This window comes from Homo sapiens, chromosome 1, assembly GCF_000001405.40.
Source record: "Homo sapiens chromosome 1, GRCh38.p14 Primary Assembly".
NCBI classification, from domain to species: domain Eukaryota; kingdom Metazoa; phylum Chordata; class Mammalia; order Primates; family Hominidae; genus Homo; species Homo sapiens.
The window spans coordinates 12209772-12233787 of NC_000001.11; the positions used below are offsets into that span (position 1 = coordinate 12209772).

Below are 24016 nucleotides of genomic sequence, written 5' to 3' on the forward strand. Positions count from 1 at the left end.
CTGGCCAGCATGGTGAAACCCCATCTCTACCAAAAATACAAAAAATTAGCTGGGCATGACGGTATGCACCTATAATCCCAGCTAGTCAGGAGGCCGAGGCACGAGAATTGCTTGAATCAAGGCAACAGAGGTTGCAGTGAGCTGAGATCGGGCCACTGCACTCCAGCCTGGGTGACAGAGTAAGAGTCTGTCTCCAAATAAAATAAATAAATAAAATCAATTAATTAGAAGAAAGCCTTGGAGGGGAGAGAGACCTTGGCCTGTGTATTGGTTCCACTGACCCCCTGGGTCACCATCGTCACTCCAGCTCCTGTGACTCCCTCAGTGGGACCATTTTCATTCTTGGTGATTATAGGATCTGTGATTGATGGAACGCCCCGCCTCCTGGCTTCTCGCCCTCCTCTCCTCCATGGTCCTGTCCTCCAGCCTGTCTCAGTCACTCAACCCTTGACCAAGGCTCCCCACACTTATTCCATAAAGAGCCAGGGAGCAAATTTATTTTAATTTTTTGAGACAAGGTCTCACTCTGTTACCCAAGCTGAAATGTGATCGTGGCTCACTGCAGCCCTGACCTCCAGTCGCAGCCTCTTGAGCAGCTAGGACTACAGGCATGGACCACTATGCCGAGCTAAATTTTAAATTTTTTTATTTTTATTTTTTGGGTTTCCCTGTGTTGCCCAGGCTGGTCTCGAACTCCTGGGCTCAAGTGATCCACCGGCCTGGGCCTCCTGAACTGCTGGGATTACAGGTGTGAGCCATTGCGCCTGACCAGAATCAATATTTTACACTTGGCAGGCCTTACAGTTTCTGCAACAACCACTCACCTGTGCTGTTGAAGTGTGAAAACAGCTGTGCACAGGACATGAAAGAATGGGCAGGAGGCGGATGTGGCCTTCGGGGTGTGCCCATGCCAGTGCCTTAGAGCCTGGCATTACTGATAACTGCACGCTAATCTCAATTTCAAGCATCCCACTTCCCCCCACCCCTACTTCCTCCTGTCTTTCTCCCTCAGTGGCACCTGCAGCTGTTGGTTACGTTTTCTCCCTTGTACGCACCCACGGCACTTTCTCCTGGTTTGTTGTTCTCTCTCTGGTTGAACCCAGCTCTCTGCCTGTGCCACACCTGCACGTCTGCACCTGGCTGGGGCAGGATGATGGCCTTCCACCATGCTGGCTGGTCGCGTTTTCATTTCATGATCATTAGACTTGGCTGGGCACAGTGGCTTATGCCTGTAATCCCAGCACTTTGGGAGGCTGAGGTGGGCAGACTGCTTGAGCTCAGGAGTTCAAGACCAGCCTGGGGCAACATGGTGAAACCTCATCTCCACAGAAAAATACAGAAACTAGCTGGGTGCGGTGGCACGTACCTGGAATCCCAGCTACCCATGAGGTTGAAGTGGGAGGATTGCTTGAGCCCAGGAGGCGGAGGTTGTTGTGAGCTGAGATCTTGCCACTGCACTCCAGCCTGGGGGATGGAAAAAAAGAATAAATTCTATGGGGGTCCTTGGTGCTGCCCAGCAGTGACAACAGGTCCCCTCCCCGATATATTAGTTCCTGTTGTTGCTATAACAAACCACACAAACTCAGTGGCTTAAAACAATACAATTTCATTCTCCTACAGCTCTGGGAGCCAGAAGTATAAAAGCAAGGTGTTGCCAGGCCTGCTAGGCTCAAATGGGGAATTTGTTCTTGGAGGCTTTAGGGGAGAATCTGATTCCTTGCCTTCAGCTTCCAGCGGTACCTGCATTCCTTGACTTATGGCCCCTTCGTCCATCTTCAGAGATAGCAACGGAATCTCTTCAGAAGTCAGATCTCCCTTTGCCTCCCAAGTGTAGGGACACCTGTAATTACAACGGACCACCCAGAAAATCCAGGACACTCTCCTCGTCTTAGCATCTTGGCCAGGTTTCAGGAATTCAGACATCAATGTCTTTGCAGGGGCAAAGACAACCATTGGTTATGCAGCCTACCAGCTCCTATTCACTCAGTCTCCCACTCTTTCTATTTATCTTTTAATTTTATTTATTTATTTATTTATTTTTTGAGATGGAGTCTCGCTCTGTCACCCAGGCTGGAGTGCAGTGGTGCGATCTCGGCTCACTGCAAGCTCTGCCTCCCGGGTTCAAGCGATTCTCCTGCCTCAGCCTCCCGAGTAGCTGGGATTATAGGTGACACCACCACGCCCAGCTAATTTTTGTATTTTTGGTAGAGAAGGGGTTTCGCCATGTTGGCCAGGCTGGTCTTAAACTCCTGACAGGTGATGCACCCACCTCAGCCTCCCAGAGTGTTGGGATTACAGGTGTGAGCCACTGCGCCTGGCCTATTTTATCTTTTAAATAAAAGGATTAATTGAGGTTTTTGTTTGAGACTGAGTACCACTCTGTGACCCAGGCTGGAGGGCAGTAGCGCAATCACAGCTCAATGCAGCCTGAAACTCCTGGGCTCAAGTGATCCTCCCACCTTGGCTTCCCAAAGTGCTGGGATTATAGGGATGAGCCACCACACCTTACCCCACTCTTCTAGATGGACTATTTCATGTGTTCTCCTTTATCCCCAAGCCTCTGTCCTCACCCCACCCTTACCTTCAGTTGGTTACCTTGCTGTCTATTTCACCGAGAAAATAAAACACAAGAGAATGCTTCATGCTTGCCCCACCACATCTGCCCTCTCACCCTGCATCTGTGCCCACAACCCTGGCCTTTGCCGTGACTGGGTCTGAGGACAGCGCCTCCCCTGCACGGGATCTTAGCATCTCTCCTGGCTCAAGGACATTGCTTCAGTGAGTCTCCTGTCTCTTTCCTTCAGCATCAATTTCTCTGGCTCCTGGATCTTTCCTGTTTGCATATAGACACCCTGAGGTTCCTCCCATTTGTGAAACAACCTCACACCCATTAGGACAACTACTATCAAAAACCCAGAAATTAGTAAGTGTTGGTGAAAATGTGGAGAGATGGAAAACCTTGTGCGTCGCTGAGGAGAGTGCACAGTGGTCCAACTGCTATGGGATACAGTGTGACAGCGACTCAAAACATGGAACATAGAATTACCATCTGATCCAGCAACTCCGCTTCTGGGTGTGTACCCTAAAGAACTGAAAACAGAGTCTCAAACAGATATTTGTACAGCAGTGCTCCCTGTTCATAATAGCCAAAAGGTGGAAACAACCTAGGTGTCCAAAAGGTGGAATGGATAAACAAAATGTGATCTACAGGCTGGGTGCAGTGGCTCACACCTGTAATCCCAGCACTTTGCAGGGCTGAGGCAGGTGGATCACCTGAGGTCAGGAGTTCGAGACCAACCTGGCCAACATGGTGAAACCCCATCTCTACTAAAAATACAAAAATGAGCCTGGCGTGGTGACACACGCCTGTAGTCCCAGCTACTCAGGAGGCTGAGACAGGAGAATCACTTGAACCCAGGAGGCGGAGGTTGCAGTGAGCCGAGGTCGCGCCACTGCACTCCAGCCTGGGTGACAGAGTGAGACTTCATCTCAAAAAAAAAAAAAAAAAAAAAGTGGTGTACAATGGAATATTCAACCTTAAAAAGGAAGGAAATTCTGACACGTGCTGCAACACGGATGCCTTGAGGACAAGGATCCCTTGTCCCTTATACTAAGTGAAATAAGCCAGTCACAAAAGGACAAATTCTGTATGTTTCCCGTACATGAGGTACCTGGAGTAGTAGGATTCATAGAGATGGAAAGTAGGGTGTTGGTTGCCAGAAGCTGGGAGAAGAGGGAATGGGGAGTCAGTGTTTAATGGGTGCAGAGTTTCAGTTTTTTGAAATGAAGAGTTCTAGGCCAGGCATGATGGCTCACGCCTGTAATCCCAGAACTTTGGGAAGCCGAGGTGGGTGGATCGCTTGAGTTCAGAAGTTCGAGACCATCCTGGACAACATAGCAAGACTCCGTCTCTATGAAAATGAGCTGGGCATGGTGGCATGCGCCTGTGGTCCCAGCTACTCAGGAGGCTAAGGCGGGAAGATTGTGCGAGCCCAGGAAGTCGAGGCTGCAGGGAGCCATGACCTGTGCCACTGTACTCCAGCCTGGGTGACAGGGCGAGACCCTAAAAAAAAAAAAAAAAAAAAAAGTTCTGCAGATGGATGGTGGTGATGGTTGCACAACAATATGAAATTACTTAATGCCACTGAACTATACACTTAATAATGGTTAAGATGAGAACTTTTAAACAAAAACCAAAAAAGAGCAACAACTACAAAAAGATGATAAAATTTTGTGGGAGGCCGAGGCGGGTGATCACCTGGGGTCAGGAGTTCGAGACCAGCCTGGCCAACATGGCGAAACCTCGTCTCTACTAAAAATACAAAAATTAGCCGGGTGTGGTGGCAGGCGCCTGTAATCCCAGCTACTCAGTAGGCTGAGGCAGGAGAATTGTTTGAACCTGGGAGGCAGAGGTTGCAGTGAGCCGAGATTGCACCATTGCACTCTAGCCTGGGAGAGAAGAGTGAAACTCCATCTCAAAAAAAAAAAATTGTTATGTGTATTTCACCACAATTAACAACAGAAACCTTGCTCACAATTCTTCCAGGCGCTGTCAGATTTCTCAGCTACTCTTACAGCAAAAACACCTGGAGAACAGCATATTCAGGTCTCCAATTTGTCTTCTCCCATTTTCTCATGTGCCCACCACTTGTGCCCCCTACTCTACTCAACCTGTCTTTTGACCAGGTCTCTATGAAACTCCATACGGCTAAATTCAATGATCAGCTTCAGTCCCCATCTCACTTCTCCTACAGGCAGGCGGTATTTGACCTGAGTGATCAATCTCCACTCCTTGGAAGTCTTTCCTTGCCTGGCTGTCAGGAGTCCACACCCCATGACTCTCCTGCCATCTCAGGGACCCCTTCTGCCTTCCTGCCTGGTTCCTCCTCATCTCATCAACGTCTGACTGATGAGGGGTCCCAGGGCTCAGTCCTTGCACCTCTTCTCCCTCTCCAACTCCCTCGTTGTGGATCCCATCCAGCTTTAAATACCTGAAATACATCCTGATACCTCCTGACGCTTGAAGGAACAAGTATGTATTGTGCTCTAGTTGCGGGGATTCAGTGGCTGCTAAAATGAAGCTTACGTAATGGGTAGGAAGAAAAGAAACATAATATTAGACAGGGATGAAGAAAATGAAGCTGGACACAGGGGACCAAGGGATGGAAGTGCCCTTTTGGATCAGGGAGGGGACCGGGAGAGGTAACCTGGGAGCAGAGGCCTGAGGGAGCCAGGGATCAGCCAAGCCTGCCCTTGGCCTGGGACAGTGGCAGGAAATGAGGCTGAGGAGTGGCCAGGTCCAAAGGATGGCCACTGTCCTGCTAAGGCAGACAACGGGACAAAGGACTCGCTGAAGAGGTTTCACCGGTGGGGGGATATGGCCAGATTTGTCTTTTGGAATGATGTCACCAGGTGCTGGGGAGAGAGGAGGTTGGAAAGTGCAGTTGTGGGGACTGCTTACCAGGAGGCAGGGGGCTCCTTCTGAAGCTCCCTTGCCTTGGCTATACTCGGGGGATGGCTGGAGAGAGATGGATTAGAAGCGGAGAGACCGGCAATGTGCTGGTTAGTCTCCATCCACCCCTCCGGTTCCCCTCTCTGCCCTGCTTTGTGCCCTGGGAGACTGCCTCCTGCACACACATTCCTGGACCCCTTTCCCTGAGGCTCCCAGCAGGGTTTGGCCATGGGAGAGCAGTAGCAGTGATACAGAATGGCCAGGCTCCTGGCTAAGCCCCACCCTTAAGCCTGGAACTGCTGCCCTAAGTGAAGACAGCTGACCCTATTTTTCTGCCCAAATGCTGCCTTTTTGGCCTGCCATGCCACTATTCTGTGCCCATAAAAAGACTTCAGCTGGCAGAGTGACACAAACGGCTGACTGGAGGAGATAACAAGCATCTGAGCAGAGAAGCAACTGAGCGTCAGAGACTACGGATAGACGTGATTAACTTCAGATGGCGTGGCTTCAGGGAAAGATCACCTTCCTGCATCATCCCCTTTTCAGCTCCCCTTCTGCTGAGAGCCCCTTTCACTGCTCAATAAAGTCTTCTGCATTCATCATCTTTCAATCCATCTGTGTGACCTGATTCTTCCTGGATGCCAGACAAGAATCTGCATGCTGAGAAGGCAGGGACTTGGATGCTGCTGTGGGGCCTGTACAGAGCCTGCTCCTACCAGAAAGGAGCGACTGGCCAGTTCCGGCATTCATTCCCTCTGGTCCTCGCACTCACTTGCTTACATGCTTTCTTTCACGAGGAGTGGCCAGCGGCAGGCTGAATGAAATGAGCCACTCCAATTCCTGCCTATGAAGGGGGCTAAGGGAACGATCCCAACTCATCAGGAGACTGGAGGATGGGAAGAAAGTGAGGCCAGGTGTGTATTCCCTACTCCCCTTCCCCTTCTGGTAGATTCTCCCTGCCACCACCACTGTGGCCCCATAGCTTCCCGCTAGTGCCTCTCCTTGTGGGTTCTTCTAATGCTTGCCTCTCCTTGGCAAAAGCGTTTTCCTTCAACTTGCCTGTGCCCTGTGTTTCCTGCACAGAGGCCATTGCAGCCCCAGCAGCTCTGGTGTTCACTCATGGTGTCATTGCTGTGGATGTTCACGTTTACTGAACATCCACTCTGCAGAGGCTGGGGCTGCACTGAGCTTGAGTCCCCATCTATATATACAATGGGGATAGTAACAGCACCAACCTGGTTGGGATGTCAATGTATGAAACATGAGCTGAGCCAGTGTGTGGATCATGGAAACTGGAATAAACCCCCTTTGAGAGCAGGGAATTGACTTGGTGCTGGGGGAGGAGGGCAGCTTTGGCTCCTTCCTCTCATAGGCATTGGACATCGGCTGGTGCTGAGCCCGAGGGACCAGATCCAGCGCTGCTGTTTCCCAGAGCTCACCACCTATCTGGAGACAGAGGAGGCACCAGATGATTCTGTTTGAGGGGGTCCATTTGGAGCAACCAGGGGCAGCCACCTGCCTGATACAGCAACCAGTCAGCATGGGCCAGGCTTGCAGCTTCTCTTGCCCATTTCTTTAATCAGGACAGAACATGTGGTTTGGCGGAGCTAGGACCAGCCTGGGTAGAGAAGGAATGTCTTTTTGAGTTCTCTTTATTGTTCTCATTCATTCATTATCATTATAGATGAACAAGCACAGAACCCAAAATTGTGGGTCCAGCCTGGCGCGGTGGCTCAAGCCTGTAATCCCAGCACTGTGGGAGGCTGAGGTGGGAGAATTGCTTGAGCCCAGGAAGTTGAGGCTGCAATAAACCGTGATCAAGTCGAGGCTGCAGTGAACCGTGATCGAGTCACTGTACTCCAGCCTGGGTGGCAGAGTGAGACCCTGTCTTTTTTTTTTTTTTTTTGAGACGGAGTCTTGCTCTGTCACCCAGGCTGGAGTGCAGTGGCCTGATCTCAGCTCACTGCAAGCTCCGCCTCCCAGGTTCACGCCATTCTCCTGCCTCAGCCTCCCAAATAGCTGGGACCACAGGCGCACGCCACCACGCCCGGTTAACTTTTTTGTATTTTTAGTAGAGATGGGGTTTCACCGTGTTAGCCAGGATGGTCTCGATCTCCTGACCTCGTGATCCGCCCACCTCGGCCTCCCAAAGTGCTGGGATTACAGGCATGAGCCACCACGCCCAGCCCCGAGACACTGTCTTAAAGAAGAAAAGTTGTAGGTCCTGGAAGCCTACCTGCCCAGGTGTGAATCCTGGATGCAACACTTCCTGTTGCTGTGACCTCAATCAAGTGAATGAATATCTCTGATGTCTCTGTGCCTTACTCGCCTTATCTGTAAGATGGGATTAAAATCGTACCTCCCTCAGATTGTGGGATTACATCAGTTACTGTCTGAAATGCTTAGAACTGTGCCTGGCACATTGTCAGGGCTCCATACATGTTAATTGCTTTTTTTTTTTAATGTATAGGTGCTGAGAATGCTGCAGATAACAGCACAGGCAAGGTCCCTGTCCACCTGGAGCTGACACACTAGCAGGGACTATGTAAAGACAGACATGTAGGCTATGCCTGTAGTGGTAAGTGCTAAGAAAAATAAAGCAAAGTGAAGGGACAGATAGGGTTGCTGCCAGTTTGCAAGGTGGGTTGAGGAAGGCTTCTCTGAGGTGCTGGAGTTTAAGCAGACACCTTGGTGAGGGGAGGACAGGACAGCCATGGGACTATGGGGGGTGGGATGGGATATGGGGTTGGGAGAGTGGTGTGAAGCCATGGAAAGGACTTTGGCTTTTTTTTTTTTTTTTTTTTTTAGACAGAGTCTTGCTCTGTCTCCTAGGCTGGAGTACAGTGGTGTGATCTTGGCTCACTGCAACCCGGGTTCAAGTGATTCTCCTGCCTCAGGCTCCCAGGCAGCTGGGATTACAGTTGTCTGCCATCATACCTGGCTAATTTTTGTATTTTTAATAGAGACAGGGTTTTGCCATGTTGGCCAGGCCAGTCTTGAACTCCTGACTTCAGGTGATCCGCCTGCCTCAGCCTCCCAAAGTGCTGGGATTACAGGTGGGAGCCACCATGCTGGGCCGTTAGGTTTTATCTTCAGTGTCATGGGAGGGGCCTGAGCTGGGGAGTGTGGGAAGTTCCATAGCATTGTCTGAGCTAATGCTGAGAAAGCAGACTGGGTATGGTGGCTCACACCTGTAATCCCAGCACTTTGGGAGGCCCAAGGTGGGAGGATGGCTTGAGGCCAGGAGCTTAATACCATCCTGGGCAACATAGGGAGACCTCGTCTCTACCAAAAAATTAGCTAGATTGCTTGAGCTGTGATGGTGCCACTGCACTCCAGCCTGGGTGACAGAGCGAGACCCTGTCCCCAAAAAACCCCAAAATACCACAGTTGAGAAAGTGAGGTTGCATCATTTCAACTCGGTAACTGTCCTGCGAGATAGGCAAGGTACTCATTATCCCTGCTTTGCAGAGGAGGACATAGGGCTGGCAGGGCTGGGTTTGACACTTATCTTAGGATTGTGTTGGACAGGCTGTTTACTGTGGGAAGTTCCTGATAAGCAGCTCCTTAGAATTTCACAAGAAAGTCAAGGAAACCTGGATTTAAAGGGGTAGACATCTTTCTGGGGAAACTAGCAGCACCCTGAAAGCTAGGAGGTTGGGCTGAGCAGCTGCTTTGGGTGAATCTAAAGGCTGGGAATCCTAAGAGTGACTGTGCCTTGGTTCCACCACTATTTTGCCATGTGAACTTTGAGCAGCCTCTGTCCCCCTCTGGAGCTCAGAATCACCATCTGTGAGATGAGGGGGCTGGCCTCTGAGCTGTGGTCTATTTGCCTTTTCTCTCTCTTTCTCTTTTTTTTTTTTTTTTTTTGAGACAGAGTCTCACTCTGTCACCCAGGCTGGAGTGCAGTGGTGCAATCTCAGTTCACTGCAACCTCCACCTCCCGGGTTCAAGTGATTCTCCTGCCTCAGCCTCCCGAGTAGCTGGGACTACAGGCACCAGTCACCATGCCTGGCTAATTTTTTGTATTTTTAGTAGAGACAGGGTTTCAACATGTTGGCCAGGATGATCTCCATCTCCTGACCTCGTGATCCATCCACCTCAGTCTCCCAAAGTGCTGGGATTACAGGTATGAGCCACCGCGCCCGGCCACCTTTTCTCTTTTTTTCCCCATGGGGTGATGGTACCATCTATCCCTGGGCTGCTTGCACTTTCACAAGAGATTCTGGACCTGTGCTTCCAAATAGAGTAGCTACCAGGAACAGATGCTTCTGAGTACTTGAAACATGGCTAGTTCAGGTTGAGATGTGTAACATACATCTCAATACGAAATACCAAATATAGAAGACTTACTATGAAAAACTATATACAATATGTTCTTGGTATTTTTACATTGATTTACATGTTGAAATGGTCTTATTTTGGATATACTAGGTTAAATACAATATTAACTTCATTTTACCTGTTTCTTTTCACTCTGTGATTTGGCTACTAGACAATTTGAAATTTATGCATATGGCTTGCATTCTATTTCTATTGGACAGCACTGCCTTACAAAGTTAAAAGCCTTCAAGACCTAATTAAATTAATTCATAATTAAAATTGCAACTTCCTCACATCTGGGATCTTCCTACCCCCCACAGGGCTCTTATGGTACTTATCACCTTCTCAAATACTATATAATTTACATATCTGTTATATTTATTTCTTATTGTCTACACCTCCTGCTAGAATATAAACTCTAGGATGGCAAAGCTTTATTTTGCTTAGTCATAGGCTTAGAACAGTCCCAGGCAGCCAGGCTCGGTGGCCAGTGGCTCACTCCTATAATTCCAGCACTTTGGGAGGCTGAGATGGGTGGATTGTTGGAGCCCAGGGGTTCGAGACCAGCCTACTGAACATAGTGAGAGCCCCCCACCCATCTCTACAAAAAATCAAAAAATTAGCCAGGGCCGGGCACGGTGGCTCATGCCTATAATACCAGCATTTTGGGAGTCTGAGGTGGGCGGATCACTTGAAGCCAGGAGTTCACAACCAGCCTGGCCAACATGGCAAAACCCCGTCTCTACTAAAAATACAAAAATTAGCCAGGCATGGTGGTGCGTGCCTGTAGTCCCAGCTACTTGGGAGGCTGAGGCAGGAGAATCACTTGAACCTGGAGGCAGAGGTTGCAGTGAGCCGAGATTGTGCCACTGCACTCCAGCCTGGGTGACAGAGTGAGTCTCAAAAAAAAAAAAAATTAGTTGAGTGTGCACACCTGCAGTCTTAGCTACTTGGGAGGCTGAGGTGGGAGGATCACTTGAGCTCAGAAGATCGAGGCTGCAGTGAGCCATGATTGTGCCACTGCACTCCAGTCTGGGCAACAGAGTGAGACCAGGTCCAGCCCTCTCACTGCAAAAGAACAGTGCCAGGCACATAGTAGGTGCTCAGTTGACAGTGAATGATTGGATGAATGTAGGCAAAGAAGCATTCAGTTTTTTGTTTTGTTTTGTTTTGTTTTTTGGGCGGACAGGAAGTAGGATATTTATGGGTGGGCATAATTTATTGGGGGCAGCACAGTGAAAGCCCTCATGAGTACAAGGCTTGCCACTTCTCCAGGGGGCCATGACTAGGGATGGATTTGACCCCACAGCCATCTGGGCTGAGCTGTTTCTCAGCCACCACATATTCAAATTCATCTGCATTGAACTTGGTAAAGCCCCACTTCTTTGAGATGTGGACCTTCTGGTGGCCAGGGAACTTAAACGTGACCCTATGTAGGGCCCCAATCACATGCTCCTTGTTCTGCAGCTTGGTGTGGATGAACATGATGACTTGGCCAATGTGAACCCTGGCCACGGTGCCCTGGGGCTTTCCAAAGGCAACTTGCATGCCTGTCTGAAGCCTACACTGGGGACAATGCCAAGGTCAAAGACATTGGAAAGGGCTGTCTCCATAGTCCCTTAGAGAAAAACTCAGGCTGTCTACACAACAAAGGAAGCTGTTTGCAGCCATTACACATGGGGCCCTCAGCAGTTTCCAGAGTGGCCAAATCTTCAATTTTTCTAGAGATGTCCTAAATACAGATTTTCATGTGTAATCTCCAGATTTTTCTGTTTTCAGTAATTCAAATGAGCTTAAAGCATTGTGTGTGCCAACAGAAACATTTCTGCAGGAGTTTTGGCTACCTGTCTGCATCCCCTGTGGTCCAGATGATTCCAGAAACTGATATAGGAGGACAGGTGGGGAGGAACCTGATGTGGGGAGAGTGTGGAGCTGGGCTCTGCAAATCTGCCTGTCCCAGAAAACTTACTCCTTCTGGGCCAACATGCATCTAAGTGGGTGGTAATTAAGGAATGACCCCCATCTCCTGCAGCCCTTCCTCTGGTATGTCTACAACTAAAAAAAAGCAAGGTGATTTTTTTTTTTTTTTTAAAGAGGGTCTGTATTAGTCCATTTTCATACTGCTATGAAGAAATACCCAAGACTGGGTAATTTATAAGGAAAAAGAGGTTTAATGGACTCACAGTTCCACATGGCTAGGGAGGCCTCACATTCTTGGCAAAAGGCAAAGGGGGAGCAAAGGCATATCTTACGTGGTAGCAGGCTGGAGAGTGTATGCAGGGGAACTGCGCTTTATAAAACCACCAGATCTCATGAGACTTATTCACTATCATGAGGACAGTATGGGAAAAAACCCACCTCCATGATTTAATTACCTCTCACCAGGTCCCTCCCACAACATGTGGAGATTATGGGAGCTATAATTAAAGATGAGATTTGGGTGGGGACACAGCCAAACAATATCATTTTGTCCTTGGCCCCTCCAAAATCTCATGTCCTTACATTTCAAAACCAATCAGGCCTTTTCAACAGTCCTCCAAAGTCTTAACTCCTTTTGGCATTAACTCAAAAGTCTACAGTCCAAAGTCTCATCTGAGACAAGGCAAGTCACTTCCACCTATGAGTTTGTAAAATCAAAAGCAAGTTAGTTACTTCTTAGATACAATGGGGCATTGGGTAAATACACTTGTTCCAAATGGGAGAAATTGGCCAAAACAAATGGGCTATAGGCCCCATGCAAGTCTGAAACCCAGTGGGGCAGTCAAATCTTAAAGCTCCAAAATGATCTCCTTTGATTCCATGTCTCACATCCAGGTCAAGAGATGGGTTCCTATGGTCTTTGGCAGCTCTCCATCCTGTGGCTTTGCAGGGTACAGTCCCCCTCCTGGCTATTTTCATTGGCTGGGGTTGAGTGTCTGCAGCTTTTCCAGGTGCACAGTGCAAGATGTCCTACCATTCTAGGGTCTGGAGGATGGTGGCCCTCTTCTCACAGCTCCACTAGGCAGTGCCCCAGTGGGGACTCTGTGTGGGGGCTCCCATCCCACATTTCCTTTCTGTACTGCCCTAGCAGAAATTCTCTGTGAGGGCTCCACCTTGCAGCACACCTCTACCTAGTGTTTCCATTATCCTCTGAAATCTAGGCAGAGAGGTTCCCAAACCTCAATTCCTGACTTCCATGCACCTGCAGACCTAACAGCATGTGTAAGCTGCCAAGGCTTAGGGCTTGCACCCTCTGAAGCAATGGCCTGAGGTGTATGTTGGCCCCTTTTAGCCATGGCTGGGACACAGGGACCAAGTCCCAAGACTGCACAAAGCAGCAAGGCCCTGGGCCTGGCCCACAAAACCATTTTTTCCTCCTAGGCCTCCAGGTCTGTGATGGGAGGTACTGCCATGAAGACCTCTGACATGCCCTCTAGACATTTTCCCCATTGTCATGGTGATTAATGCTTGGCTTCTTATTACTTCTGCAAAGTTCTGCAACTGGGTTGAATTTCTCCCCATAAATTTTTTTTTTCTATCGCATTGTCAGTCTGCAAATTTTCCAAACTTTTATGCTTTTTTTTTTTTTTTTTTTTTGAGACGGAGTCTTGCTCTGTCGCCCAGGCTGGAGTGCAGTGGTGCAATCTGGGGTCACTGCAAGCTCTGCCTCCTGGGTTCACGCCATTCTCCTGCCTCAGCTTCCCAAGTAGCTGGGACTACAGGCACCTGCCACCAAGCCTGGCTAATTTTTTTTTTGTATTTTTAGTAGAGACGGGGTTTCACCATGTTAGCCAGGATGGTCTTGATCTCCTGACCTTTGTGATCTGCCCGCCTCAGCCTCCCAAAGTGCTGGGATTACAGGCGTGAGCCACCACACCCAGCCAACTGAATGCTTTTAAGAGCACTCAAGTCATCTCTTGAATGCTTTGCTACTTAGACATTTCTTCCCTCAGATACCCTAAATCATCTCTCTCATGTTCAAAGTTCCACAGATTTCTAGGCCAGGGGTGAAATGCTGTGAGTCTCTTTGCTAAAGCATACCAAGAATTACCTTTGCTTCAGTTTCCAATAAATTCTTTGTCTCCATCTGAGACCACCTCAGCCTGCACTTCATTGTCCATATCACTATAAGCATTTTGGTCAAAACCATTCAACAAGTCTCTAGGAAGCTCTGAACTTTCCCACATCTTCCTGTCTTCTTCTGAGCCCTCCGAACTGTTCCAGGCTCTGCCTGTTACCCAGTTCCAAAGTCTCTTCCACATTTTCTGGTATCTTGATAGGAGTACCCCACTCTACTGGTGCCAATTTACTGTATTGGTCCATTTTCATACTGCTATAAAGAAATATCCAAGACTGGGTAACTTATAAAGAAAAAGATGTTTAGGCTGGGCACAGTGGCTCACGTCTGTAATCCCAGCACTTTGGGAGGATGAGGCAGGTGGATCACAAGGTCAGGAGATCAAGACCCTCCTAGCCAACATGGTGAAACCCCATCTCTACTAAAAATACAAAAATTAGCTGGGCATGGTGCATGCCTGTAGTTCCAGCTACTTGGGAGGCTGAAGCAGGAGAAGCGCTTGAACCAGGGAGTCGGAGGTTTCAGTGAGCCAAGACTGTGCCACTGCACTCCAGCCTGGCAACAGAGCGAGACTCCATCTTAAAAAAAAAAAAAAAAGGAAAAGAGGTTTAATGGACTCACAGTTCCACATGGCTGGGGAGGCCTCACAATCATGGCAGAAGGCAAAAGAAGAGCAAAGGTACATCTTACATGGCAGCAGGCAAGAGAGCGTGTGCAGGGAAACTCCCCTTTATAAAACCATCAGATCTCATGAGATTTATTCACTATCAGCAAAACAGCATGGGAAAAACCTGCCCCCATGATTCAATTACCTCCCGTCAGGTCCCTCCCACAACATGTGGGGATTATGGGAGCTACATTTCAAGATGAGACGTGGGTGGGGACACAGCCAAACCACATCAGGGTCTTACTATGTTGCCCAGGCTGGTCTTGAATTCCTGGGCTCAAGAGATCCTCCCGCCTTGGCCTCCCAAAGTGCTAGGATTACAGGCATGAGCCACTATGTGCAGCCTAAACTGCTTTTCTTATATTCATACAACACTTCTGACTCCAAATTGTGGGTTTTCCACATCCCAAGCAATTCTCTAATTCTCTGAACACCAGTTGTGTGTCCTGAGATTCAATTCAATTCTGACACTACCTACCTGGCATTAGCAGAAGATCCCACAAGTAAAGGGCTCAGCCCCACAAGACTGCCCCACTTCAGATGCCAATCACTAGTCCAGGCCTTCTGTACTTCTGACTGATCAGCTATAAATTGGGGGTTCCCATGACCCCTCCCTTAGGTTTGATTATTTTCAATAATGGCACACAGAACTTAGGGAAACACTTTACTGTCTTTCTTTTTCTTTTTTCTTTTTTAGATGGAGTCTTGCTCTGTTGCAGGCTGGAGTGCATTGGCACAATCCCAGCTCACTGCAACCTTTGCCTCCTGGGTTCAAGCAATTCTCCTGCCTCGGCGTCCTGAGTGGCTGGGATTACAGGTACCTGCCACCATGCCTGGCTAATTTTTGTATTTTTAGTAGAGATGCGGTTTCACCATGTTGGTCAGGCTGGTCTCGAACTCCTGACTTCGTGATCCGCTTGCCTTGGCCTCCCAAAGTGCTGGGATTACAGGCGTGAGCCACTGCTCCTGGCCACTTTACTTTCATTTACAATTTATTATAAAGGATGCAACTAGTGGAAAAATGCACAGGCCAAGGTGTTAGAGATGGGGTGGGGCTTGGAAACACTGAACCTTTAGGGTTTTTTTGTTTTTTTTTGAGATGGAGTCTCTCTGTTGCCCAGGCGGGAGTGCAGTGGCCTGATCTCAGCTCACTGCAAGCTCTGCCTCCCAGGTTCACACCATTCTCCTGCCTCAGCCTCCCAAGTAGCTGGGACTACAGGCGCCCGCTACCATGCTCGGCTAAATTTTTTGTATTTTTAGTAGAGACAGGGTTTCACCATGTTGGCCAGGATGGTCTTGATCTCCTGACCTTGTGATGCACCTGTCTCGGCCTCCCAAAGTGCTGGGATTACAGGCGTGAGCCACTGTGCCCGACCACCTTTAGGGTTTTTACGTGGGCATGATTGACTGAATAATTGGCCATTGGTGATTGAACTCAATCTCCAATCCTCCCCGCAGGTCGGAGGCGGTCAAAGAGTGTGTGTTTTTGCGTGAGATAGGCCCACCCTCTCTCTAATAACATGGTTGCTCCCTCTGGAAACCAGCCCCATTCTGAAGCTGTCTAGGGACTTTCAGCCACCAGTCGTCTCAGGAACCTACGAAAAGACACTCTTATCTCTCTGGAGATCCTGGTGGTCCCAGGAACTCTTGGGTTGGGAACTTGGGGATGTTGACCAAAGAGTATAAAGTTTGGGCCAGGTATGGTGGTCACGCCTGTCATCCCAGCACTTTGGGAGGCCGAGGTGGGTGGATTACTTGAGGCTAGGAGTTTGAGACCAGCCTGGCCAACATGATGAAACACCGTCTCTACTAAAAGTACAAAAATTTGCCAGGCGTGGTGGTACATATCTGTAATCTCAACTACTGGGGAGGCTGAGGCAGGATAATCACTTGAACCTGGGAGGCAGAGGTTGCAGTGAGCTGAGATCGCGCCACTGCACTCCAGCCTGGGCAACTGGGTGACAGAGAGAGACTCCGTCTCAAAAAAAAAAAAAAGAAACAAAACAAAGAGTACGAAGTTTCAGTTAAACAAGAGAAAGAAGCTATAGTGATCTATTGCTCAGAATGGTGACTATAAGAAATAATACATTGCATATTTCAGAATTGCTAAAAGAGTAGGTTTTAAATGCTTTCATCTGGCCGGGCGCGGTGGCTCACGCCTGTAATCCCAGCACTTTGGGAGGCTGAGGCGGGCGGATCACGAGGTCAGGAGATCGAGACCATCCTGGCTAACACGGTGAAACCCCGTCTCTACTAAAAATACAAAAAAAATTAGCCGGGCATGGTAGCGGGCGCCTGTAGTCCCAGCTACCCGGGAGGCTGAGGCAGGAGAATGGCGTGAACCCGGGAGGCGGAGCTTGCAGTGAGCCAAGACAGCGCCACTGCAGTCCAGCCTGGGCGAAAGAGCGAGACTCCGTCTCAAAAAAAAAAAAAAAGTTTTCATCCAAAAAAGTATGTTAGCTGATGGATTTGTTCATTAGTGTGAATTAATCATTCCACATTGTAAATAGATATCAAAACAGTGCACTGTAGCCCATAAATATATACAATTATTTGTCAATTAAATTTTTGAAAAAAGCTGTGAGCAGTGTCTCCTGCCTGTAATCCCAGCACTTCGGGAGGCCAAGGTGGGAGGAATGCTTGAGCTCAGGGGTTCAAGACCAGCCTGGACAACATGGCAAAACCCCATCTCTACTAAAAATACAAAAATTAGCCGGGCGTGGTGGTGCACGTCGGGAATCCCAGCTACTCGGGAGGCTGAGGCATGAGAATCACTTGAACCTGGGAGGCAGAGGCTGCAGTGAGCCGAGATTGTGCCACTGCACTCCAGCCTGGGCGACAGAGTAAGATTGTCTCAAACAAACAAACAAACAAACAAACAAAACCCCCCAAATCAGCTGGGTGTGGTAGTGCATCTGTAGCCTGTAGTTCCTCTGACAGTTTTGTCTTTTCTGGAATTTCACAGAAATGAAATCACTACGGTATGTGGTCTTTTTCCACATAGCTAATACTTTTGAGGTTCCTCCAGATCGTGCCTGCGTCAGCCCTACTCACCTTTTTGTTGGTGAGTAGTGCTCCATTGTATGACTATGTTGCAATTTGTTTGTCCACTCTCCTGTTGATGGACATTTTGATTGTTTTTTTTTGTTTCTGGCTTTTATGAATAAAGCTGCTATGAGTGTTCATGTATAAGTCTTGGTGTGGGCATATGTTTTAATTTCTCTTGGCTAATATCTAGCAGTGGGATTGCTGTATGGTAAATGTATATTTAAACATTTATAGGAAACTGGGGGCACGAAGACTTTCAGTAATACTGGTCGAATCAATGGTGCCCAGGAATTTGCATTTTTGAGACAGGGTCTCTGTTGCGCAGGTTGGAGTGCACAGGCATGATCATTGCTCACTGTAACCTTGAACTCATGGGCTCAAGCAATCCTCCTCCCAGTAGTTGGGAGTACAGGCATGTGCCACCGTGCCCAGCTAATTTTTTCATTTATAATTTTTTGTAGAGATTGGGGTCTCCTTATGTTGCACAGGCTGGTCTTGAATTCCTGGCCTCAAAAAATCCCCCCCACTGCCTTGGCCTCCCAAAGTGCTAGGATTACTGGTGTGAGCCACGGTGCCAGGCCATGTGCAGTATTTTTTTGGATTTTTTTTGAGATGGAGTCTTGCTCTGTTGCCGAGGCTGGAGTGCAATGGCGAGATCTCGGCTCACTGCAACCTCTGCCTCCTGGGTTCAAGCAATTCTCCTGCCTTAGCCAGGAGAGTAGCTGGGATTACAGGCACCTGTGACCATGCCCGGCTAATTTTTGTATTTTTAGTAGAGATGGGGTTTTGCCAAGTTGGTCAGGCTGGTCCTGAACTCCTGACCTCAGGTGATCCACCCACATCTGCCTCCCAAAGTGCTGAGATTACAGGCATGAGCCACCGCGCCTGGCCTGGGCCATGTGCATTTCTAACAAGCTTCCCAGGTACAGCCAATTGTCTGTGCTAGGTGATCTGGACTTCGAGGTCCTTCACCTCTGAAGGACTGCCTTCCTTCCTCCTTCTGTCTGTGGAGTTCCAGGTTTTACTCCCAAACCTCAGCCCCAGAGGAGACCCAGCATCCAGATTCTGAGAGGTTGATCCCACCATACAGGAACCCCAGTCTTGCTCAGGAGTGAGTCAGCCCAACATGCACCCTCATTAGCTTAGCATCATGAGGGTTGGTAATTATTATGGTAAATACATGATTGTAACCTTGCCGTTCTGCTTCCTGCATCTTCTAATTTATATGAGCCTGAGGTCTCCCTCTTGCCCTTCTTGTGATAATGCAAGGAGGAAGTGTTCAGCTGTTCATTCATACACACTCATTGAGTCTTTTCTGTGCTAGGCAATGTCTAGGTGTTGAAGAAACACTGTGAAAGGGATAAAATCTCTGTTTTCAAGGTACTGGGGAAAGAACAACATATGTATAAACAAACAAGATAATCTCAGGGAGTATTAGGTTCCATGAATAAAATACAACAGGGTAATGGATAATGGAACTTTATTTTTATTTTCATTTTTGAGAGGGAGTCTCACTCTGTCTGGAGTGCAGAGGGGTGATCTCGGCTGACTGCAACCTCCGCCTCCCGGGTTCAAGTGATTCTCCTGCCTCAGCTTCCCCAGTAGCTGGGACTACAGGTGTGCACTACCACGCCCGGCTAATTTTTGTAGTTTTAGTAGAGATGGGGTTTCACTATGTTGGCCAGGCTGGTCTCAAACTCCTGACTTCAGTGATCCGCCCGCCTCAGCCTCCTGAAGTGCTGGGATTACAGGCATGAGCCACTGTGCCCAGCTCATAATGGAACCGTAGATAGGCACAAGTCCTCTCTGAGTGGAATATTTGAAGCCAGAGGGAGTCAGCTATACGAATATCCAGAGCTATTCTGTAGCTCTGGATTGGCCACAAGAGGGTATTGAGCACTGGAATTCTGGCTAGTTTGTACTGAGATGCGCAGTAAATGTAAAATATACCCGAATTTCAAAAACTTACTATAAAAAAGTTAACATATTGTATTAGTAATTTTTTCTTTTGGCGACATGTTGAGATGATCATATTTTGAACATATTGGATTAAATATATTAAAATGAAGTTCATTTTCTTCTTTTTCGTTTAAAAAAAATGTACTAGCTAGTAAATGTGGATTGCCTATGTGGCTGGCATTGTGTTTCTATTGGTCTGAGGAGAAGGGTCCTAGGTAGAGACAACGGCAAAGGTACAGTTCCTGGGGCAGAAACTGAAGGATGCTGAGGCAGAGTCGGCCGGGGAAAAAGTGGCTGAAATGGGAAGGGACCAGATCCAGTGGGACCTTGGTGGCAGCTCTGTAAGGAGGTGGGTTTTAACTGAAGTACGGTGGGGACGCCGTTTTAAGCAGGGAAGGGCAGGGTCTGAATTAACAGGCCCCTGTGGCTGCGAAGTGGGGAACGGACTGTGGGTGAGTGGGCCAGACGGACGGCCAATCGCACCTTTCGCTTGGATGGAAGGCAGGGTGGTTGTAGGTGGGAAGAATCCTGGGTTCCCATGCTGTCTGAACCAGAGTCATTTGTGGCCCTGCCCTCCCCTGGGACTCAATTTCCCCACCTATAAAATAAGCCCCAGTGTCCGCGAACCCTGGAGGGGCCCGCACCACTGCAGGAGCGGCCGCCGGCGCCAGGGGGCGCCTCCTCGATAACTCGGCGCTCGGCTGGCCAGGCACCGGCGCGTCGGCCGCTCGATTGGTCGGGTCGGGGCCGGCCTGAGCGCCGCGGGCCTGCGCCATTGAGGAGCGGCGGGGAGGAAACGCCGCGCAGCGCCGGGCTGGGGCGGGCGGCCCGGGACACCGACAGGTAGGGGCCGAGCGGCTCCGTGCCGGGCGGGGCCAGGGTCGGGAACTGCAGGGCCGGCGCGGACCCGCGGGCCGCCGCTAGGGCTCCGCCTGGACATGGGGGCCCGGGCCCACCCTGGGGAGAGCGATGCTAGGAGCCTGGGGGCCCCGTCGTCCGGCCTCGGTCTGAGCCCCTCGGGGTAACCCTGGGCGTCTGCTCCCCCCGGGCCCCAAGCCCGCCACCTCCGGGGACCCCTGCGTCCGAGTCCCCGCGAGCTCCCCAAGCACAGGCTCGGGGCTGGCTGAACCTCTGGGAACCCCGACGTCCGTGTCCTGGGGAGCCCGAGCCCCCGCTGGACCCCGGCACACTTTCCGGGGTCCCAGCAGCCTGGCGCCCTGGAATTGGGGGGTGTCAGTCCGCGCCTGTCCGCCTGAGCCTTGGTCTCAATGCAGGACCCCAGTGTGCGAGCCCCCCACATTACGCCGAAGAGTGGGGTGTCAGTTCTCTAGAATGCCTTAGCCACCTCCCTTAATCAGCCACCCGAGGTCACACTCTCGCGTGGAGACATCAGGCCTAAAACCTCTCTTTACCTTTTGCCCCCCAGGGTCACGCCCTGGCCCAGCCACTCCTCCTAGGTGTGGGATGCCAGACATCAGGCCTAAAACCTCTCTTTACCTTTTACCCCCCAGGGTCACGCCCTGGCCCAGCCACTCCTCCTAGGTATGGGATCCCGGCGCCGTTCCCTCCAGGTTTTACTTGGGTGGTGGGGTCTCTGTCCCCTGGAGGGGGCTGAGGGTTCCGAGAGCTGGGGGCGGGAGGGTTGTGGGAGCGTCGCCTTCCGGGCAGTGCCGTTCCTGTGGGGCCACCGGTCGCACAGCCGTCCCCGCCCCGGTTTTGGAGCTCCCTGGCGCCGGCAGCGTTCAGCCCTGGCCGCCTCGGGGAGGGACGCCCAGGTCCGGTTGCCAGTCCTTCCTATTCCCGGTCTGGCCGCTCCTCAGGGGAGGGGCCTGGCTCAAGGTCATGCCCGGCTGTCTGCCCGCCCGTGGGCTCAGCACTGATCCCTACTGTCACCCGCCCCACTGGGTAGGGGAGCCCAGGTGGGGGTTAGTGCCAGTGCCAGGCAGCTGCCTAGAAGTCCTGATGGACCGGAGTGTAAACACTTTGGGACTCTGGCCAGTCTGGCGGCCCTTGCTGACACTGAATTCCTTCAGGGAATCCTTGAAGTGGCCTCAAGCACGGTCTAGATGCTTAGCAGAGCAAATAATGGGTGCTTTCTGGTTTGGGCCTCAATGTTACTGACCAGGTTGCCTCACAATGCTAATCACTCATGCTTTTAAAATCTGTGCTTTGCATTCTTTTCCGTTTAGGGCAAGTAGGGTAGGGCCTGAACTTGTTTACAAACTGACAGTTGTTTCCCTTGATTTGGAGATAATTGGTAATTGGCACTCAGAGTTGGCATTTAGGGCCGAAATTAGTGGCAATAACTACAAAAATAAAGAGTACTCTGACCTTGGCTTCTTGCTCAAATTTGTTTGGAGTCCCCATAGTAAGATTAGTCAGTTTCACATTTGGTTTTCACAAATTTACTCCTTTCAAGTTATAATAGTGGCCGGGCACGGTGGCTCACGCCTGTAATCCCAGCACTTTGGGAGGCCAAAGTGGGCAGATCGCTTAAGGTCAGGATTTCAGACCAGCCTGGCCAACATGATGAAACCCTGTCTCTACCAAAAATACAAAACTTAGCCGGGGATGGTGGCAGGTGCCTGTAATCCCAGCTACTCAGGAGGCAGAGGTAGGAGAATCGCTTGAACCCAGGAGATGGCGGTTGCAGTGAGCCGAGATCCGAGATCCCGTCACTGCACTCCAGCCTGGGCGAGGGAGCAACACTCTGTCTCCAGAAAAAAAAGTTACAATAGAGAAATGTTTCTTTTATTCAGACTGTTGAGCATTTTTTTTAAAAAATTGTTCTTATAACATCTTCTTTAAACAAATGTAGCTAATAATTAGTTTTATGTAACTCTACCCTTAAAAAATATCTTTATATTCCATTTGCAGAAAAAAAAATCTTTGGAAAGAAATTGGTCAAATATTTTACCAAATGCTGTTTTTTTCTTTTTGCTGTCACTGTTGACCAATAAAAGTTAATCTTCTCTGGAAGTACAAGATATTGTTGACAAACAAAAGCCAGTTTTTCCAGGAGATTGAATTCATTCTTGTGGAGGCCTTGTGCTTCAGGTAGTTGTTGGATGGCAGCCTCTCAGTTGGGATAGGTGTATCTTCTGGCACTAAGATGAATCACTAGAGGTGGGGCAGCGTGCTTGGAGAGGATCCTGAAAGTAGGCTGGCTCCAGTGGGATGCGTGCCATGGCAAGTCTGTAGTGCCTGGCAGGGTGGCTGATGACTGACATGGTGGATCAGAACAAGATTTGAGGCTCACAGTTTCCACTGGGATCTTCTAGTTGAGCAATCTCAGAACCCAGTTAAACTTTTGTGTCTCAGTTTCCCTCATGTTGACTTTTTGTAATACTAAAATTAGTCTTTTTTTTTTTTTTTTTTTTTTTTTGGTAATACTGGTAAACACCAGTTATTATAACAGGCAGTAGTACCTACAAAATCTAAATACCGTGGCTGGAGCCAGAGGATTTCTGGAGTTTGGGGTTTGTAATAATCGACTAAGATTGTTCATTGTATCAGCGTCATCTGGTGCCCAGGTACCAGTAATGCAGTTCCAGGACATTTAAGAACAGTGATAAAGCACTGTCGCCTCTCTCCCATGTATATTATTTTATAAGTGATCCTCATGAACAAATTTGAGACATTTAATTTGGGCGGCCTAAATGAGGATCATTAAAGAATGTGAATTCTCCCCCCACCCCCAACTTTATTCAGGTTTGTTTCATGAGTTTCTTTTTCTTTTTTTTTTTGAGATGGAGTCTCACTCTGTCACCCAGGCTGGAGTGCGGTGGTGTGATCTTGGCTCACTGCAACCTCTGCCTCCCGGGTTCAAGGGATTCTCCTGCCTCAGCCTCCCGAGTAGCTGGGATTACAGGTGCCTGCCACCATGCCTGGCTAAGTTTTGTATTTTTGGTAGAGACAGGGTTTCACCATGTTGGCCAGGCTGGGTTTGGACTCCTGACCTCAGGTGATCCACCTGCCTCGGCCTCCCAAAGTGCTGGGACTCCAGGCGTGAGCCACCACCCCCGGCCTCTTTCATGAATTTCATTCAGACAATCTCTTACGGCATTTTCTGTCTTAATCTAGGATAAGGTTTCTTAACATTGGCTCTGTTGACATTTGGGTTGGATAATTCTTTGCTGTGGGAGCTGTCTTGTGTGTTGTAGGTTTAGCAGCTTCCGTGGTCTTTATTCACAAGATGCCAGTAGCAGCCCCTAAGTCATGATAAAAAATGCCTCCAGAGATTACTAAATTATGCCCATAGGAGAACCTCTGATCACGGCAGTCTAATCCCAAGGTAAATCAACATAAGCAAGCAATGGACAGTTACACTGAAAAGATAGACAGCTTTGAATTGTAGGTAATTTTTGGTAAATTTAAGAGTGACTATTCCCTGAAGCAGCATCAGAATGTAGGTGTTTTGGTTTGGCCCTCCAGTTACTGATGGGGACATCTTACAGAGCTTCTTGCCTCATCTTTTAAAACATCTGCAGCCGGGCGCAGTGGCTCATGC

The 24016-nt window shown here is 49.3% G+C and overlaps 1 protein-coding gene and 2 pseudogenes across 2 annotated transcripts in view, besides 4 other annotated features; 1 reads left to right on the forward strand and 2 right to left on the reverse strand.

Annotated features, from left to right (window-relative positions):
* Positions 708-787: a silencer, noted in NCBI's record as "silent region_286". NCBI's record gives its function as "represses an Ori minimal core promoter by ATAC-STARR-seq in GM12878 lymphoblastoid cells {active_cell/tissue: GM12878}" and the evidence as "EXISTENCE:reporter gene assay evidence [ECO:0000049][PMID:35858748]".
* Positions 10956-11338, reverse strand: RPL10P17 (ribosomal protein L10 pseudogene 17; annotated as a pseudogene).
* Positions 11377-11500, reverse strand: LOC124900427 (uncharacterized; annotated as a pseudogene).
* Positions 20008-20938: an enhancer, noted in NCBI's record as "H3K27ac-H3K4me1 hESC enhancer chr1:12289836-12290766 (GRCh37/hg19 assembly coordinates)". NCBI's record gives its function as "activates a minimal SCP1, AML or CMV promoter by ChIP-STARR-seq in naive H9 embryonic stem cells {active_cell/tissue: H9 hESC(naive)}" and the evidence as "EXISTENCE:reporter gene assay evidence [ECO:0000049][PMID:30033119]".
* Positions 20084-20613: a silencer, noted in NCBI's record as "silent region_287". NCBI's record gives its function as "represses an Ori minimal core promoter by ATAC-STARR-seq in GM12878 lymphoblastoid cells {active_cell/tissue: GM12878}" and the evidence as "EXISTENCE:reporter gene assay evidence [ECO:0000049][PMID:35858748]".
* Positions 20150-20318: a silencer, noted in NCBI's record as "fragment chr1:12289978-12290146 (GRCh37/hg19 assembly coordinates)". NCBI's record gives its function as "represses an EF-1alpha promoter that drives an FKBP-Casp9 reporter gene in an ReSE screen in K562 erythroleukemia cells {active_cell/tissue: K562}" and the evidence as "EXISTENCE:reporter gene assay evidence [ECO:0000049][PMID:32094911]".
* Positions 20259-24016, forward strand: part of VPS13D (vacuolar protein sorting 13 homolog D) — a 282018-nt gene continuing 278260 nt past the window's right edge. For both annotated transcript variants that reach the window (NM_015378.4, NM_018156.4), the window contains exon 1: positions 20259-20349. The gene's annotated coding sequence lies outside the window, so the exon portion shown is untranslated. The remainder of the gene's footprint in view (positions 20350-24016) is intronic.